The 17,981-nt window shown below is 41.3% G+C and overlaps 1 annotated feature.

Annotated features, from left to right (window-relative positions):
- Window positions 10,703-11,416: an enhancer, noted in NCBI's record as "OCT4-NANOG-H3K27ac hESC enhancer chr6:110832459-110833172 (GRCh37/hg19 assembly coordinates)". NCBI's record gives its function as "activates a minimal SCP1, AML or CMV promoter by ChIP-STARR-seq in naive H9 embryonic stem cells {active_cell/tissue: H9 hESC(naive)}" and the evidence as "EXISTENCE:reporter gene assay evidence [ECO:0000049][PMID:30033119]".

Here is a 17,981-nt window from a genome sequence, read left to right as displayed (position 1 = left end):
CCATTGCAAATAGTCCAGATAAGTGACTAAGTGGCTTGTACTAGACAGTGGTGGCAAGGATGGTGGTGACAAGTGGTTGGAATGGGGCACATTTTGGAGGTAAGGTAACATGATTTCTTGACCCTTAGGTGTAGAGTGTGAGCAGAAAAGAGACATCAATGAAGATTCCAAAGTTTGGGGCCTAAACAACCAAGAAAATAAAGTTACCAATTACCAAGATACGGGACACTGGGAGACGAGCAGCTTTGGGGACAGGATCCATGTCACAAAATCTGTTTTGGACATATTAAGGTTGCCAATCAGACTTCCCAGTGAGATGTCAAGAAACTAAGAAAGAAGGAAAAGATCCAGGAACAGGCACTGAGAAAAAGCAGCCAGTGAGACAGGAGGAAACCAAGGAAGCATAGAGTCCTGGTTTCCAGGGAAAGGAAGTGATCTAATTTCTTAAATGCTGCTGACAGGTAAAATAAGAGAAGATGTACAAAGCACTACAGGAATCGGCAAAGTGGAGTTCACCGATGTGGACAAAAGCCTGACTGGTGTAGGTTCAAGGGAACATGGGAGAAGAAGAATTAGAGACAGTCATTAGAATTACAACTCTTTGGAGAGTTTTGCTTTAAAAGGGAACAGGAGGCCGGGCGCGATGACTCACGCCTGTAATCCCAGCACTTTGGGAGGCCGAGGCGGGCGGATCACGAAGTCAGGAGTTCGAGACCAGCCTGACCAATATGGTGAAACCCCTTCTCTACTAAAAATACAAAAATTAGCCATGCGTGGTGGCGCGTGCCTGTAGTCCCAGCTACTTGGGAGGCTGAGGCAGGAGAATCACTTGAACCTGGAAGGCGGAGGTTGCAGTGAGCTGAGATAGTGCCACTGCACTCCAGCCTGGGCAACAGAACGAGATTCTGTCTCAAAAAAAAAAAAAAAGGGGGAACAGGAAAAAAGGGACAGTGGCTTGAAGGGATGTATGTGGAATCAAGTGAGGATGCTAAGATCACACCATTCTTGTAGGATGTTGGGAGATTCCAAGTCGAGAGGAGGAAAATGCAGGGAAGAAAGGCACTAAGGATTCAACTGAGGATTGATGTCCTTGAGTATGTGAGAGAAGCTAGGGATCCAGCGCACAGGTTGTAGGGCTGGCCTTAGGTAGGAGCACAAGAGTTTGTCCTTCATAGCAATGGGAAAACAAAATACATGAGCATAAACGCAGGAGAGGGGTTAAATGTAGAGCTGGGAACGTGTAGAAGTTCTGTACTGTTTCTATTTTCATGGCGCAATAGGAAGTTAGGATCAGCTGAGACCGACTGGCTAGGTGATGAAAGGCGGTCACGTAAGGGGTGAATGTTAAGTTTTGCCTATGACGAAGGACAGATGGTCACGGTTGTGCCATAGAAGAACCTGAATTGGCAAGTGAAGACCGTCATGTCCCCTGGCAAGGCAAGCTGGTAAGCTGTCCTAGCAAACCAAAAACCAATGAAGCATAAGGCCAGCTGGGCGGTGCGGTGCCGGGGAGGGCCCCTTTACTGAACAACTCCCTTAAACACCGGCTGAGAGCCGGCACTAGGCTAGGATGGTGAGGTGTGATTGCGGGTGAGACAGGCCACCCCTTCTTCGACTGGGTAATCTATGGAGATATATTTTTCTGTAAGAATAAATCTGATTTTTATAATCGAAATAACTGGGGGGAAAAAGATGATATCCTCAGGTATCTGGTGAGAGCAGGTAGAAGAGAGAAGGGAGGTTGGGAGAACTGAAGAATGAATTTGCAGGAAAATGGGAGGCACAATTTTTACAGCTTGGGACACACATGCGCTCTCCTCGTTAGGATCAACTCTCCTTTTTACTTGAGTTATGCAGAGCTAGCTGCCACACACTGTGCTACCAGGTGCCTGGGTGGACTTTGACAAGTCCCTTTATGTGCAAAGCACGTCCTGGAAGAGGTGCTTTCTGAGGCCCCAGCCCACAGCCCAGTGATTCTGCCACGGGACCTATTTTTCCTGAGCAATAATGGGAGAAGTTGGTTTTTAAAATAGACATAAAGAAAATCCATCCCAAATATTAACCGTTTTTATAAACCTCTTAAGTCATTCTGTCCCTTTCCTCTTTTATGTTTCCAAGTAAATCCAAGAAGGTCATCATTAAATAAGCCCCAATTATAAAAGACATGCTAAGACTTAGTGTGCTTGGCCGCCTCTGCTCTTTAGCCGGCAGTAATAAAACAATGAACCCCAGCAGGACTCCGTTCCAAATCATATTCTGCAGTTATTGTTCTGACTCCTTTCTTTCATTATTGCAAACAGAATCCCACTGAGCTCACACACTTTCAAAACGACTGTTTCCCCACACTGCAGAAAGTGGGGCGGCATTTTCTAAGAGCCGCTATTGTTTTCCCATGGCACATTTATATCTCAAAGGTACATTACCTAATGCTTACTGCACGTTATGATTTTCATTTGCTTCTTATAAATGCCCTTCCTTAATGAATTTTTAGAAAGTACAGTTTTTTGTCAAACGTTTTTCTATCTTTTTTTTTTTTTGGATATTTGATTATTTCTTTATTCCACTGGACACAAAGCAGTACTTGGCAATCATTAATTCTAGGCAACCACATCAAAGAAGCTGTATTAGCACTTTCTATTAAGGTCTCATTACTAAATAGTTGGTAAAGGCAATAATAATGTTTTGTTTTCTTGTTCTGGCCTTACAAATATTCTTATTTTCCCATGTATTCTTGTATAGTTCAATGATATTTAATCACACAGTGCTAAAAATTAAGTGATTCTAAGTTTTTTCTGCTGTTGGAAGAAATTGGTATGTGATTGAGCAAATCATTCTGTATTTTGTAAGCTGGGATAAATCTTGAAGTGCTTTTCTTCATGATTGTAGGTCTATCTATCCTTAAAGCTTAGTATGAATTCTTCGTATATCTGTGCATGAATAAATAACTCAAAGTAGTTCAAATAACAAAGAAACATATTGGTTTCTATAACAGAAAATTCACAGGTAGTTGAACTCAGATAAGGTCTGATCCAGAAAACAATGTTATGTAGGATAAAAATGTTATAATGTTATATAGAGGACCAGGACATTCATTAATACAAATATTAGGCTAGTTTTTGAGATTGTGTGATTTTTAAATACTATTTGTCAGCATTTGTTTTTTTTTTTTGCTGCAGGTGGGCGTGTGTCCACATGTGTGCATCTGAATTGGTTTGCAGGTTCTGTGTGCCTCTACCTTCATGTTGTGTTCTTTTTTAAAATTTTAACATTATGTATATTTTTTAAATTAATTAATTTTTTTTCTGAGACAGGGTCTCACTCTGTTGCCCAGGCTGGAATGCAGTGGCACCATCAAAGCTCACTGGGGCCTTAATCTCCCTGGGCTCAGGCAATCCTCCCACCTCAGCCTCCTGAGTAGCTGGGACCACAAGCGCATGCCAATATGCCCAGCTCATATTTGTATGTATCGTAGACATGGGGTTTTGCCATGTTGGCCAGGCTGGTCTCAAACTCCTGGGCTCAAGAGATTTGCCCACCTCGGCTTCCCAAAGTGCTGGGATTACAGGCATTAGTGATGCTCCTGGCCCTATTAATTTTTTAAATTGACAAATGATAACTGCATGTATTTATTGTGTACATGTAGTTTTGAAATATGTACCTATGGCTGGGCGTGGTGGCTCACGTCTGTAATCCCAGCACTTTGGGAGGCTGAGGCAGGCAGATTGCGTAAGCGCAGGAGTTCGAGACCGCACTGGACAGCATGGTGAAACCCCGTCTCTACTAAAATACAAAAAATTAGCTGGGTGTGGTGGCACAGGCCTGTAGTCCCAGCTACTTGGGAGGCTAAGGCAAGAGAATCGTTTGAGTCCTGGAGGCGGAGTTTGCAGTGAGCCGAGATCGCACCACTGCACTCCAGCCTGGGCTACAGAGTGAGACTCCGTCTAAAAAAAAAAAAGAAAAAGAAAAAAAGAAATACGCGCATATTGTGGAATGGCTGAATTGAGCTAATTAACATATGCATTACTTCACATATGTATTTGTCAGCTTTTTAAAATGTGCAAAATATTGTGATTTCTTTTCTTATTCTAAATAACTTTGTATTTATAATTTTTAATTTTCTAAAATGGTTCCCCCAAGTTGTATAAACTTTAAGTCTCACAAAACCTGGATCTGTCTCTGCTGAGCAAAGGGTGAGGTTGCTCCCAGAGGAAAGATTTTGTGCACACGCAGGAGAAAGGACACCTAATGGCAAAAACAGGGCATGACCAGTAAAGTTTTAAACCTTTTCTGAACTTTCTTTGCTTTGAATTCTGCCTCTATGAGGCTGATAAATTTTTTAATTGGCAATGAAGCTATTTTAAGGCAGGGATTATGTGTTAAACCTCTCTGGTTGTGCACCCAGTAATCAGCGAACTAACTTGTATGGAAGAACATATTGATATATTAACACTTCTTTCCAGTACAGTGATTCAAAGTGATTATACAGTCGTCCCTTGGTATACACAAGGGATTGGTTCCAGGACCTCTCCGCCTCACCCACCCCCTCACCTATATACCAAATCCATGCATGCTCAAGGCAAGTCCCACAGTCAGCCATGTCGAACCTGCACATAGGAGAACTCAGCTGTCTGTACAGGTGGGTTTCATATCCCTCAAGTACTGTATTTTCAATCCACGTTTGGTTGAAAAAAATCCACGTATAGGTGGATCTGTGCTGTTCAGACCTGTGTTGTTCAAGGGTCGACTGTACTTTTTTTTACTTGAACACATAAAATTTTCATGGAGGAGTCCAAATTCCATAAAGGAGTTACATCATAAACTCAAAAGGCTGTATAGAGAAAGATTATTACAACAATAGCAAAACATGTTTGCAGAACAAAACAATGACTCAAGTCTTGGACGTGGACCCACTAATTTCAAATAATTATCTATTGGCTGCGTCTCTAGTATTTGTTGAACAGAACTGCAGCTACAGTAAGAAATCTTGCCTGATGAAAGATTATGATTAATTTAAGAATTGCTAAATGTAACTCAGTGTTTTCTAACATCCTTGAGGAGCATATATTTGTTTTAAAGGTTAATCTGGAAAATGAGTTTTAGGAAACGTTAATGTGCATTTACTTGGGAGGTAAATAGTTAAATTAGACTCTTCCCCTTGGCCTTTCCAGGAGGTTTGGGTTTCATGTTAGGTTTTGCTGTAAATTGAAATTCATTTGCAGTGAGAAAGCGTGTTGAGAATGGATTTTGGGATTTTGTCAGGTTTGTCCAGAGACTGTTGTCATTGGTCTGGAGAGGGAAGGATCTTACTCCCGTAGAATCTTTGTCTTCTTCCAGAATGTCCTCATTTGGCAGTACTGGGTGACACATTGGTACATTATTAAGTAACTGTAGTTTGACCTCTTGGAGTTTGTTGGGAACAAATCCAAATAAACTGGCATCTACCTTCTGTTTGCCTTGTTCGTGCTTTGCTGTTTGTCAAATCACCTCTCTCAGCAGAGTGTCCTCTTTTTTTTTTTTTTTTTAGCAGTGTCCCCTGGTAAAAACCAGGGGGTTGTTTCAGAATGAATCTGAGGTCCAGTTAACTGCAACATTCTCTTATTCTAGGATTCTGTTTTCAGGAACACAGATACTTTCAGACAAATGTTAAAAGGCTTGGTTAACATGGGAAATAGTTCCTCAAAACTTAGAGGTTAAAGTACTGTACTGTTAAAGAAGTTAAAGTACTGATTTTAAACTTTTCTAGAAATTTCTGGGAACAAGTAGTGTTTTTCAAGATTTCTTAGAGGGAAGAGACCTTTCTTCCCTACCAGCAGTCTGTCCATCCTTTCAGACAATCATTTTGGATTAAGGATATTTAAGTAAGTGGTTAGTGTGCTTCAGAATACCTGGGGTTTATTAAACACAGGTGTATGCATTGTCATATATTGTGAACATCTTTCCATGTTAATAAATATGCAACTAGGCCACCATTTTTACTTTAATTTTAAAATTATATATTATTGGCCAAGCGCAGTGGCTCACACCCATCATGTCAGCATTTTGGGAGGCCGAGGCTGGTGGATCACTTGAGGCCAAGAGTTCACGGCCAGCCTGGCCAACATGGTGAAACTCTGTCTCTACTAAAAATACAAAAATTAGCCAGCTGTGGTGGTGCACGCCTGTAGTTCCAGCTACTCAGGAGGCTGAGGCGTGAGAATTGCTTGAACCTGGGAGGCAGAGGCTTCAGTGAGCCAAGACTGCATCACTGTACTCCTGTCTGGGCAACAAAGACTCTGTCTCAAAAAAAAAAAAAAAGAAAAAATATACATTATTTATTACAGAAGTAATAACATCCTAGTATAAAAACCTCAGACGATTCAGGGCTGTATATTCCCCTATGCCAAAATATACTTTTCAATAGCTGCATAGTACTTTCTTATATAGAAAACACCATAATTTACTTAACCAGTCCCCTGTGAACATTTGGCCCTTAAGTTGCTTCCTTTTTGCTTTTCTTATAAATAATACTATACTGAAAATGCTGCACATAGACAATTGCACATTTCTCTGATTATTTCCTCATTTTAATACCCTTGTGATTATAGGGGTAATATACTGTATACAGTATTTATTATAGAAAATACAAAAATAATAAAAATACTTTTATCTGAGGCAATTAGGACCAGTAGATAGTCGATTAACTGAAAAAGTTGGTAAAGCAAAGAATCATAAAAAAAGAAATTTTATGAAAGACCCAGATGACTTCAAAGCTATTTGAATTGTTTCAGAGCATAAAAAGAGAAAATACCCAAGTTATTTTATAGGAAGCCAACGTAACATTGAAAACAGTGTGCAACAATGTTTGCACAGGAAAATTCTAGACAATCTCATTTATTAATATCAGTACAACAATCTAACATAAAATATTAGCAACCAGACTTCAACAGCACGTCAAAGGATAATAAAATTAACAATTAGAGTTTATTACAGGAATGCAATGACCATTCTTTTTTTTTTTTTTTTTTTGAGATAGAGTCTCACTCTTGTTGCCTAGGCTGGTGTGCGATGGCACAATCTCGGCTCACTGCACCCTCTGCCTCCTGGGTTCAAGCGATTCTCCTGCCTCAGCCTCCTGAGTAGCTGAGGTTACAGGCACCCACTACCACGCCTGGCTAATTTTTTGTATTTTTAGTAGAGATGGGGGTTTCACTATGTTGGCTAGGCTGGTCTCAAACTCCTGACCTCATGATCCGCCCGCCTCAACCTCCCAAAGTGCTGGGATTACAGATGTGAGCCACTGTGTCTAGCCAATGACCATTCTTTATTTTGAACTCTTTTATTACGACATGAGAAAATTAATATTATCTTTTCAGCAGGTACTAAGAAGGCATTTGATACAATCCAGTATTCATTCCTGGTGAAAACTTCGTAAACCAGCAGTAGGTGGATACTTTCGGCATGAGTAAATATATCTATCTTAGTCTAAAACCTAGCATTGAGCATAATGGAGAATGGAGGAACACCATATGTTTCCATTAAAGTCAGAAACAAGGCAAAGGTGTCCAGGCACACTGCAATTATTTAACATTATTCTGCAGATACTAGCTAATTCAATTAGATAAAAGAAACTAGGCATCAATTAAAAAAAGAGGAAGTGGCCAGGCGTGGTGATTCATGCCTGTAATCTTAGCACTAGTTGAGGTGGATGGATCACTTGAGCCCAGGAGTTCAAGACCAGCTTGAGCAACATGGCAAAACCCATCTCTACTAAACATAAGAAAACCGAGATGGGAAGATCACCTGAGCCCGGGGAGATTGAGGCTACAGTGAGCCATGATGCTGCCACCGCACTCCAGAGAGACACCATCTCAAAAAAAAAAAGTCACATAACCATCATTTGCAGATGATATCATGATATATCTGGAAAACTTAAAAAGAGTCATCTGAAAAATTATGTCAAACAATATGGGAAGTAATTTGGCTTGGTAAAAATAAATAAATACAGAGAAATAGTCTTTTACTTTTTGACAGAGTCTCACTCTGTCACCCAGGCTGGAGTGCAGTGGTGTGATCTTGGCTCACTGCAACCTCTGCCTCCCAGGTTCAAGCGATTCTTATGCCTCAACTTCCCAAGTAGCTGGGATTACAGACATGTGCCACCACACCTGGCTAATTTTTGTACTTTTAGTAGAGATTAGGTTTCACCATGTTGGCCAGGCTGGTCTCAAACTCCCGGCCTCAAGTGATTTGCCCGCCTTGGCCTCACAAAATGCTGGGATTACAGGTGTGAACCACCACACCTGGCCCAGAAATAGCCTTTTAAATACAAAAACAATAATCAGTGAGTAGATGGAATAGAGGATCCTACTTACATTGTAGCTGAAAAAGTAGATTAAGCTTAAGAGAAATATAGAAGTTCCAGTTCAAAAACATTTAAACCCTACTGAGAAATACAGGAGAGAATGTGAACAATTGGAAGGTTCTGCTTTTGAGTAGAAAGACTCATCATAATCATGTCAACTGTCTTTATTTTAATGCAATCTCAGTAAAAACTCTGTAAGGAGTTTTTTTTTTTTTTTTGAGACCAATTAAGGTGCCTCTCAAGTATTAAAGCATATTATTATATAAAACCAGAATAATTTATGTAGCACAGTGCTGACATATTATAGGCAGCTTGACAGAACAGGGTATAAAATCCTGAAATGCATATCAGACATCGTTTATGATATATACTGTTGTTTTGCAATATGATAACGGTGCATTTCAAATACAGAAGGAAAAAGTGGATTACTTAGTTAATGGAAGTGAGAAAAACCAGATACTCTCTGGAAATAAGTTGAATTCATATTTTACATCTTATACCAAAATACATTTCAGATGGGTCCAATATTTAAATACAGGAAGTAAAGAGAAGTAGAAGAAAATATGGAATGTTTTCATCATGAAATGGGGAAGAAATTTCTGAGCATAATATGAAACCCAGAAGAAAAGAAAAGAAAAATTTGATCAATTGGACTATATAATAATAAAATAATTCAATATGACAAAAACAACCATAAGGAAAGTGAAAATTCAAACAACAGACTGGGGGGAAGTATACAATTTCCATCATATATAAAGGTTTTATATTCCTTATATAAAAAACTCCTACAAACAGTGAACAATACCAACAACCAACAGAAAAATGAAAAAAAAAAAAAAGAGATGTGAACTGTAGAAGAAAAGCACAATAGGGTCTTAAGCATATGTAAAGATGCTCAATTACATACATAAGAAAGTATGAGAAAATACAAACTATAAAGTAGTAACATTTTACATGCCAATTTGGCAAATCTCAAAAGTTTGCTAACATGCTGTGTAGGTGAAAGTGAGAGAAAAATAAACAGTATTACAACATACTGAATGGAGTGTAAATTGGCACAATGATTATGAAGAGTAATTTTGCAATATCCATCAAGATTATAGATATAAATATACTTTCACCCAGCAATTCACTTCTGGGAATTTAGCCAACAATAGCTCTCACATGTGCAAATAGCACATATTATTATGGCAAAATTATTCATGGTAGCTTTATTTGTAATTGTGAAAGACTGGAAACAATCCAAATGTTCAACAATAGAAGTTTGGTTACAATGTTTTTGGTTACTGTTTCTTTTTTTAAATAATGGAAAAATATTGTGCAACTATTCAGAAAGAGAAATATAGTGGTTTGAACTGTCCTCTAAGAGAGTAGAGTGAGTTGCAGAACCATTTGTGTAAAACAAAGAAGGAAATAAATATATTGATTTTTTTGCTTATTTATGCATAAAATATTTCTGAAAGGATATCCAAATACTTTAGTTAGCTGGGGCTGCCATAACAAAATACCATAGTCTAAGTGGTGTAAACAACAAAAATTTATCTTCTCACAGTTCTGGTGGCTGGAAGTCCAAAATCAGGGTGCCAGCATGGTTGGGTTCTGTTGAGGGGGAGAGAGTATGAAAGCTCTTCAGTGTCTTTTCTTCTTCTTTCTTCTTGTTCTTGTTCTTCTTGTTCTTGTTCTTCTTGTTCTTGTTCTTCTTGTTCTTGTTCTTGTTCTTCTTCTTCTTCTTCTTCTTCTTCTTCTTCTTCTTCTTCTTCTTCTTCTTCTTCTTCTTCTTCTTCTCCTTCTCCTTCTCCTTCTCCTTCTCCTTCTCCTCCTCCTCCTCCTCTTATTCTTCTTCTTTTCTGAGATGGAGTCTTGCTCTGTCACTCAGGCTGGAGTGCAGTGGCGCAATCTTGGCTCACTGCAACCTCCGTCTCCCGGGTTCAAGCAATTCTCGTTCCTCAGCCTCCTGAGTAAGCTGGGATTACAGGCGTGTGCCACCACACCCGGCTATTCTTTTGGTATTTTTATTAGAGACCAAGTTTCACCATGTTGGCCCGGCTAGTCTGGAACTCCTGACTTCAGGTGATCTGCCTGCCTCCGCCTCCTAAAGTGCTAGGATTACAGGCGTGAGCCACTGCACTCGGCCCAGTATCCCTTCTTCCAAAGGTACTAATCCCATCATGAGGGTCTCACCCTCATCAGCTCATCCAAACCTAATTACCACCCAAAGCCTTCATCTCCAAACACCATCACACTGTGAATTAGGGCTTCAACATATTAATTTGAGGAGGACACAATTCAGTCCACAGTACCAAGTTATTTGATCATAGTAGTTGCTGCTGGGCCCAGGGAAGAAAGCAAGATGTAGGAGAATAGAATTGGAAAGGTGATTTTTCATTGTTTGCTCTTTGTACCTCTGTAATTCTCTATCTGATATCAACCGAGTGTCCAACAATTCAATTCAATTCTGACCCACTGTGTCACTGACCACATGTTCTTGGACTCTCCATAGAAAGTAACATGAGGCTGAAAGAGTTTTTCCAGATAAGACTTCATTGGAGCTTATGCCCAGACAGGAAGGCAGCATGAGAGAGAGAGAGAGAGAGACACTGGGGTAGATTATGCAGGTTGAAGGGTAGGGTATGCAGGTCAGCATTATCTGCTTAGGATGGTTATCTTGTGTAATGGACCACCTGGTGGTCTGGCCAGCAGCAACAAGGCTGTAATCCATTGTTCAGCATTCCTTCCCAGGTGGGACACTCCACAACCTTGGTTTGATGTGTAGATTTCCTAAGGGCAATTCCTAGAATTCTTTAAGTAAAAGGCATAGTTAAACATTATGTAGGAGGAGCCACATCCCATTCCTATTCTACCTCATATATACTTAGGGTTACTGTCAGATTCCATAAGTTAAAGAGCTCAGCCCCACAAAACCGCCTCAACTTCAGATGCTGGTCTTAAGTCATGGGCCACTCATACTTTTTTTTTTTGAGATGGAGTCTCTCTCTGTCGCCCAGGCTGGAGTGCAGTGGCACGATCTCAGCTCACTGCAACCTCCGCCTCCCGGGTTCAAGCGATTTGTCTGCCTCAGACTCTCGAGTAGCTGGGATTACAAGCATGCACCACCATGCCCAGCTAATTTTTGCATTTTTAGTAGAGACAGGGTTTCACCATATTAGCCAGGCTGGTCTTGAACTCCTGACCTCATGATCCGCCCATCTCAGCCTCCCAAAGTGCTGGCATGAGCCACTGCGCCTGGCCCCATACTTCTGACTAGCTATAGATTGGTGATTCCCATGAATCCCTCCTCATTTTGAGTATTTTGCTAGAATGTCCCCCAGAACTCAAGAAATCATTTTACTTATGTTTACCAGTTTTTTATAAAGGACACAAGTGAACAGCCAGAGGAAGAGGTACAGAGGGTAGGACCCAGCAGGGTCCCAAGAGCAGAGGCTTCTGTCCTGTGGAGTTGGAGCCAGCCACCCTCCCAGCGTGGGTTGGATGTGTTCACCAGCCCAGGAGCTCTCCAAACCCTGTTGTTAAGGGGTTTTTATGGAGTTTCTTACATAGGCATGATTGATTAAATCACTGGCCAATGGTGATCCGATTCAATTTCCAGCCCCTTTTCCCTTTCTAGAGGTTGGAGAGTGAAGGTTCCAATCATCTAATCAAGACTTGGTCTTTCAGGAGAAGGGCCCCTATCCTCAAGCTATCCAGAGGTCCTCCAGGAGTCACTTTATTAGCATAAACTCAGGTACAGTTGAAAGGGGCTTGTTATGAACAGTAAAAGATGCTCCAATTTTCCCTATCACAGAGGAAAACTCCAAGTGTTTTAGGAGCTCTGTGTCATGAACCAGGGACAAAGACTCAGTATATATTTTCTATTATATTTTACCACAGTGTTAAGGAAAAGGGGTCCTGATCTACACCCAAAGGGAGGGTTCTTGAATCTCATGAAAGAAAGAATTCAAGGTGAATCCATACAGTGAAGTAAAAGTAAGTTTATTAAGAAAGTAAAGGAATAAAAGAATGGCTACTCCATAGGCAGAACAACCCTTGGGGCTGCTGGTTGCCCATTTTTATGGTTATTTCTTGATTATATGATAAACAAGGAATGAATTATTCATGAGTTTTCCGGGGAAAGGAGTGGCAATTCCTGGAACTGAGGGTTCTTCCCCATTTTGGACCATATAGGGCAACTTCCTCATGTTGCTATGGCATTTATAAACTGTTATGGCACTAGTGGGAGTGTCTTTTAGCTTGCTAATACATTATAATTAGTGTATAATGAGCAGTGAGGACAACTAGAGGTCACTTTCATCACCATCTTGGTTTTGGTGGGATGTAGTTGGCTTTACCACATTATTTTTTCAGCAAGGTCTTTATGACCTGTACCTTGTGCAGACCTTCTATCTCATCCTGTGACTAAGAATGACTAACCTCCTGGGAATGCAGCCCAGTAGGTCTCAGCCTTATTTTAACCAGCCTTTATTTGAGATGGAGTTGCTCTGGTTTGAATGCCTCTGACAACAGTACCTTTTGAATTTTGACCTATGTATACAAACACACACACACACACACACAAACACAGAAGTATTAATACTGAGTAATACTGAGAGTTGGGGGGATGCTCAGAAAGACTGAGTTACCCAAGTTCACATAATTTGCCATGGTCAGAGATGGACCTCAGGTTTCCTTACTTCTGTTTGAAGGTTTTTTCCAATATGCTGTGATTACTTTCTCATCTCTTTGAAGATGTTTACTGCTTTCATGACTTCAGAATGTCTGAGTATTCTAGTTTTCAATATCTAAAGGGGAATCCTTTAGATTTAGGGGCATGGGGGCCACTTGTGGGAGGTCAATGATATTTCCTCACACATTAATGCAATTTTTCTCCAATATTCAATGCAAGATATGGTATATAGAGAGGCAACCATGTATATCATGCAAATTGAGAAAGACTTGGAAACTGTCCCATCCAAAAGTACTCATCTATTAATCTGCTCAAAGAAATATGAAAGAAAACTTAGAAGAAATCCCACTACTGTGTAGTATCTCTTAAGTAAATTGCAAATATTTCTAGGAGAAGTGCTCTTGAAATGGGAGAGTTCCCTGACCACCCTTAAAGGACATGCAACAGGGGTATGGCTCATGTGTTTGGTCACCACACACTCAAACCCCTAACAGGAGTGGGAGCACACAGCAGGGCAGGCACAGGAGCTGGGGCGAGTGCTTTGAGGCTCCAGCCCCATAGCAGCATCTGGAGTGGGTGCCTGTGACTCCCAAAACCCAAGTGGGCATGGCATGTGTTACAGTGCACTCTTTTAGCTTTGATGTCCACAGATGGTGTAAGTGTTAACCAGCTCAGTGGATCCTCTGCCTTTTTGCAAGGGCAGAGGGCCAGTGTGACAGCTTACTGTATCCCAAGCTCCTGTCTAACATCCCAGAAGAATCAGGTCACACATGGACTTGAAGGGTAGTGAATGTGGGGGTTTTATCGGGTGGTAGAGGTGGATCTCAGTGGGATGGATGGGGAGCTAGAAGGGAGATGGTGTGGGAAGATGATCTTCCCTTGGAGTTTAGATGCTCTTTCTCTTCTCTGCCACATCATTCTGCTGTTCTTCTGCTCTTCTGTTCATCTTCTCATCTCCTTGTCTGCTCATCTGCTTCTGGAACCTGAGGTCTGTGGTTTATATGGGTACAGGATAGGGGGGTCAAAAGACAACTTTTGGGGCATGAAAACAGGAATGCCTGTTCCCATTTAGGGCCATGAGTATCCAGGCTTGAGGATGGGGCCTTTGCTGGGGAACCACCCTCTTCTACCCAGTATTTCTCTGTCTCCTGTCCATATCACTCTTACACTGTCAACAACTATTATTAACTCCTGAAAAAATGAATTTATCAGATTCCTACTTGCAGGTCAGATTCTAACAGCAGGCTCCTACAGAAATGGGACAAGTGGTTGATGAAGAGTCAAATTCTGTAAAATATTTTAAGAGATTTATTTTGAGCCAACTTTGAGTGACCATAGCCTATGAAGGAGCCCTCAGGAGGTCCTGAGAACATGTGCCTGAGATGATTAGGCTGCAGCTTGGTTTTATATATTTTAAGGAGACATGAGACTTCAATCAAATTCATTTAAGAAATACATTGGAGGCCAGGTGCTGTGGTTCATGCCTGTAATCCCAGAACTTTGGGAGGCTGAGGTGGGTGGATTACCTGAGGTCAGGAGTTCGAGGCCAGCCTGGCCAAATGGTGAAACCCTCTCTACTAAAAATACAAAAATTAGCTGGGTGTGGTGGTGTGTGCCTGTAATCCTGGCTCCTCAGGCTGAAGCACAACAATCGCTTGAACCCAGGAGGTGGAGGTTGCAGTGAGCCGAGATTGCGCCACTGCACACTCCAGCCTGGGCAACAACGTGAGACTCTGTCTCAAAAAAAAAAAAAAAAAAAAAAAAGAAATACATTGGTTTGGTCCTGAAAGGTAGGACAACTTGAAGCAGGGGTTTCCAGCTTATAAGTAGATTTTAAAATTTTCTGGTTGGCAGTTGGTTGAGTTTATCTAAAGACCTGGGATCAATAGAAAATAATGTTTGGATTAAGATAACAGGTTGTGGAGGCCAAATTTCTTATTGGCAGAGGAAGCCTGCAGGTAGTCGGCTTCAGAGAGAATAGGTTGTAAAATGTTTCTTATGTGACTTAAAGTCTGTGTTGATGTTAATGCTGGAGAGGTATAATGAGCCATGTCCAACCACTACTTCCCATCATGGCCTGAAACAATCTCTCAGGGTAAATTTTAAAAGAGCCCTGGCTGAGTAGGAAGTCCATTCAAGTGGCTGGGGGGTCTTGGAATTTTTTTTTTTTTTTGGTTTACAAAGGGATAATAAATTTTGATTTAAAAAACAAAGCACCTGAGGGGTGGGCTCAGTGGCTGATGCCTATAATTTCAGCATTTTGGGAGGCCAAGGTGGGAGGATCACTTGAGGTCGGCAGTTTGAGACCAGTCTGTGCAACATAGGGAGACCTTGTCTCTACACACACACACACACACACACACACACACACACACACACATGATCTGAGGATCTTTGTTTTTTTCTTCAAAGACAGGGTCTTACTATGTTACCCAGGTTGGATTTGAACTTCTGGACTCAAGGGATCTTCCCATTTCAGCCTTCCAAGTAGATAAGACTATAGGCATGTGCCACCACACGCATTCTCTCGGTTTTGTCATCTGTAAAACGAGTGAGCTGGACCAGTGTGTCCTCAGATTTCCTTCCTTCAGAGCTCTGTTCTGGCTAAATGATTTTTCAAATCCCTTATCTCACTTGCATCCCATGGAAAACCTGGGAAGGGCAGGAAGGACAGGGGAGACTATTTTTCTTACTTGTCAGATAAGGAAGCCAAGATTCAAGAGTTCCATGATCACCAGCTATCTTAATCCATTTGAGCTGTTATGACAAAATGCCACAGACTGGGTAACTTATAAAAAATCAGAATTTATTTCTCACTGTTCTTGAGGCTAGGAATTCAAAGATCAAGGTGGCAGCTGATGAGGTCTCAGTTCCTCTGCTTCCAAGAAGGCACCTTGGGGCAGTATCCTACAGAGGGGATGAATGCTGTCCCCTCACATAGTGGAAGAGAGAAGAACAAAAAAGGACTGAGTGCTACATGGAGCCTCAGGGCTTTAATCCCATTCACAAAAAATAATCACGTCTTAAATGCCACACCTCTCAATACTATCACAAGAACCATTACGTTTCAACACATGAATTTTGGAGGAGATCACTCAAACCATAGCACCAGGCAAGGAGCCTGTTTAGCATGGGCACTTAACTCCAAGTTTAGTGGCCTTTCCACTGTCTCATACACATTCATTCGTCTTTTGAGTACAAGGTATTATGCTGCGTGCTGGGGATGCAAAACCAAAAAGATAAGCCTCCTGCCCTCCAGGGGCTGACAGTGGCTGGAGAAAATGAATGCTTACAGAGCCTCATGGTCAGCTCCCTGCTGGAAACAGAGATGGAGGAAGGAGGACAAACAGTATCGGGGACAGAGCAAGTTTCCTGGAAAAGGCCCATCACTGAAGCTGAACGAGGAAGGATGAATAGGTATTTGGTATAAAGAAAGGGAAGGCCTGTGCTCTCAGGAGACAATATTTCATCCTTAAGTGGGATACTTAGGGTGCCATGTCAGTTGTCTGTGGTAGACTGGGAGACAGAAACTTTTGGGTAGAGGGATCTTTCAACCCTTTTTGGTTAAGATTGTTTGTCACTGCTGAGACCAGCTCAGTCAGGGAGACCCTAACCCAGTGGCGCTAGAAGAATTAAAGACACACACACAGAAATACAGAGGTGTGAAGTGGGAAATCAGGGGTCTCACAGCCTTCAGAGCTGAAAGCCCAGAACAGAGATTTACCCACATATTTATTAACAGCAAACCAGTCATTAGCATTGTTTCTATAGATATTAAATTAACTAAAAGTATCCCTTATGGGAAACAAAGGGATGGGCCAAATTAAAATAATAGGTTGGACTAGTTAACTGCAGCAGGAGCATGTCCTTAAGGCACAGATCGCTCATGCTGTTGTTTGAGGCTTAAGAATACCTTTAAGTGGTCCGCCCTGGGTGGGCCAGGTGTTCCTTGCCGTCATTCCCACAAACCCACAACCTTCCAGGGTGGGTGTTAGGGCCATTATGAACATGTTACAGTGCTGCAGATATTTTGTTTATGGCCAGTTTTGGGGCCAGTTTATGGCCAGATTTTGAGGGGCCTGCTACTAACATGTCCCCCTTCTCTGATGTGCAAATCAATAAACTCAAAGGCAGCTTTGTCACAGTGAGCTACTTCTTGCAGGAGTCAGGATCCACATCTGCAGACTATACAAAGACAAACAACACAGATTAAAAGCACAATCATCATTGAAATCACAGAGCTTCCAAGTGTTTTTATCAATTTTCAGCTCCTTGAAGCACACCAGTTCCTGGCATTAAGGTCAGGTGTGCCTGGGATGCTTTAAATATTTGTTCTTTTAATTTTAAATCCTTACGCTAAGCTCCTAGAGTGGGCCATATCTTTTGAGGTTGAGGTGCCACTATACTGCCATGGTTCCAGATAATAGGAACTCTTGCTATACTTATTATTATATCTACCATCTGACCGTTTTGTTCAGACCAGCTGAACATAGTGTGGCCATGGCACACAGACTGAGAGGTGCAATTTGAGCTAAACATCCCCTTAGGGGACCAACTACTAATGATTCCATAGGAATCGTTGTGCAACACCTCTGCCTGTTCTGCAATGCAATCTTCCTAAACAAGTATGTTCATTTTTTCTAACTGGGTCCAATCCTGTTTACAAATAGGTTTTTGAGGGCAGTATGCCTCAATTATAGGAGCAGATTGATTATGGTAAATACTGAGATCAGAAAGCATGTGTAACTGTGTCATAAAGTGATTGCATCCAGGCATTATTGCCAGCCAAGATTGATAAATAGACCCAGTAAGTATAATTGTTCTCTGTGTCACCCCTTATTGAAGGAATACTCATGACAGTGGTGATAACCACTATCATAGCTACCATTAAATTATTCATTGTGACTGGTTGTCCCGCTTTCCTCAAGTTTTCTTCCGCCATCTGTGACAGCTTCTTGA

This window comes from Homo sapiens, chromosome 6 (genome assembly GCF_000001405.40).
Source record: "Homo sapiens chromosome 6, GRCh38.p14 Primary Assembly".
Taxonomy (NCBI): domain Eukaryota; kingdom Metazoa; phylum Chordata; class Mammalia; order Primates; family Hominidae; genus Homo; species Homo sapiens.
Note: the sequence above shows the minus strand (reverse complement) of the source record. Positions and strands in the feature narration are given on the sequence as shown.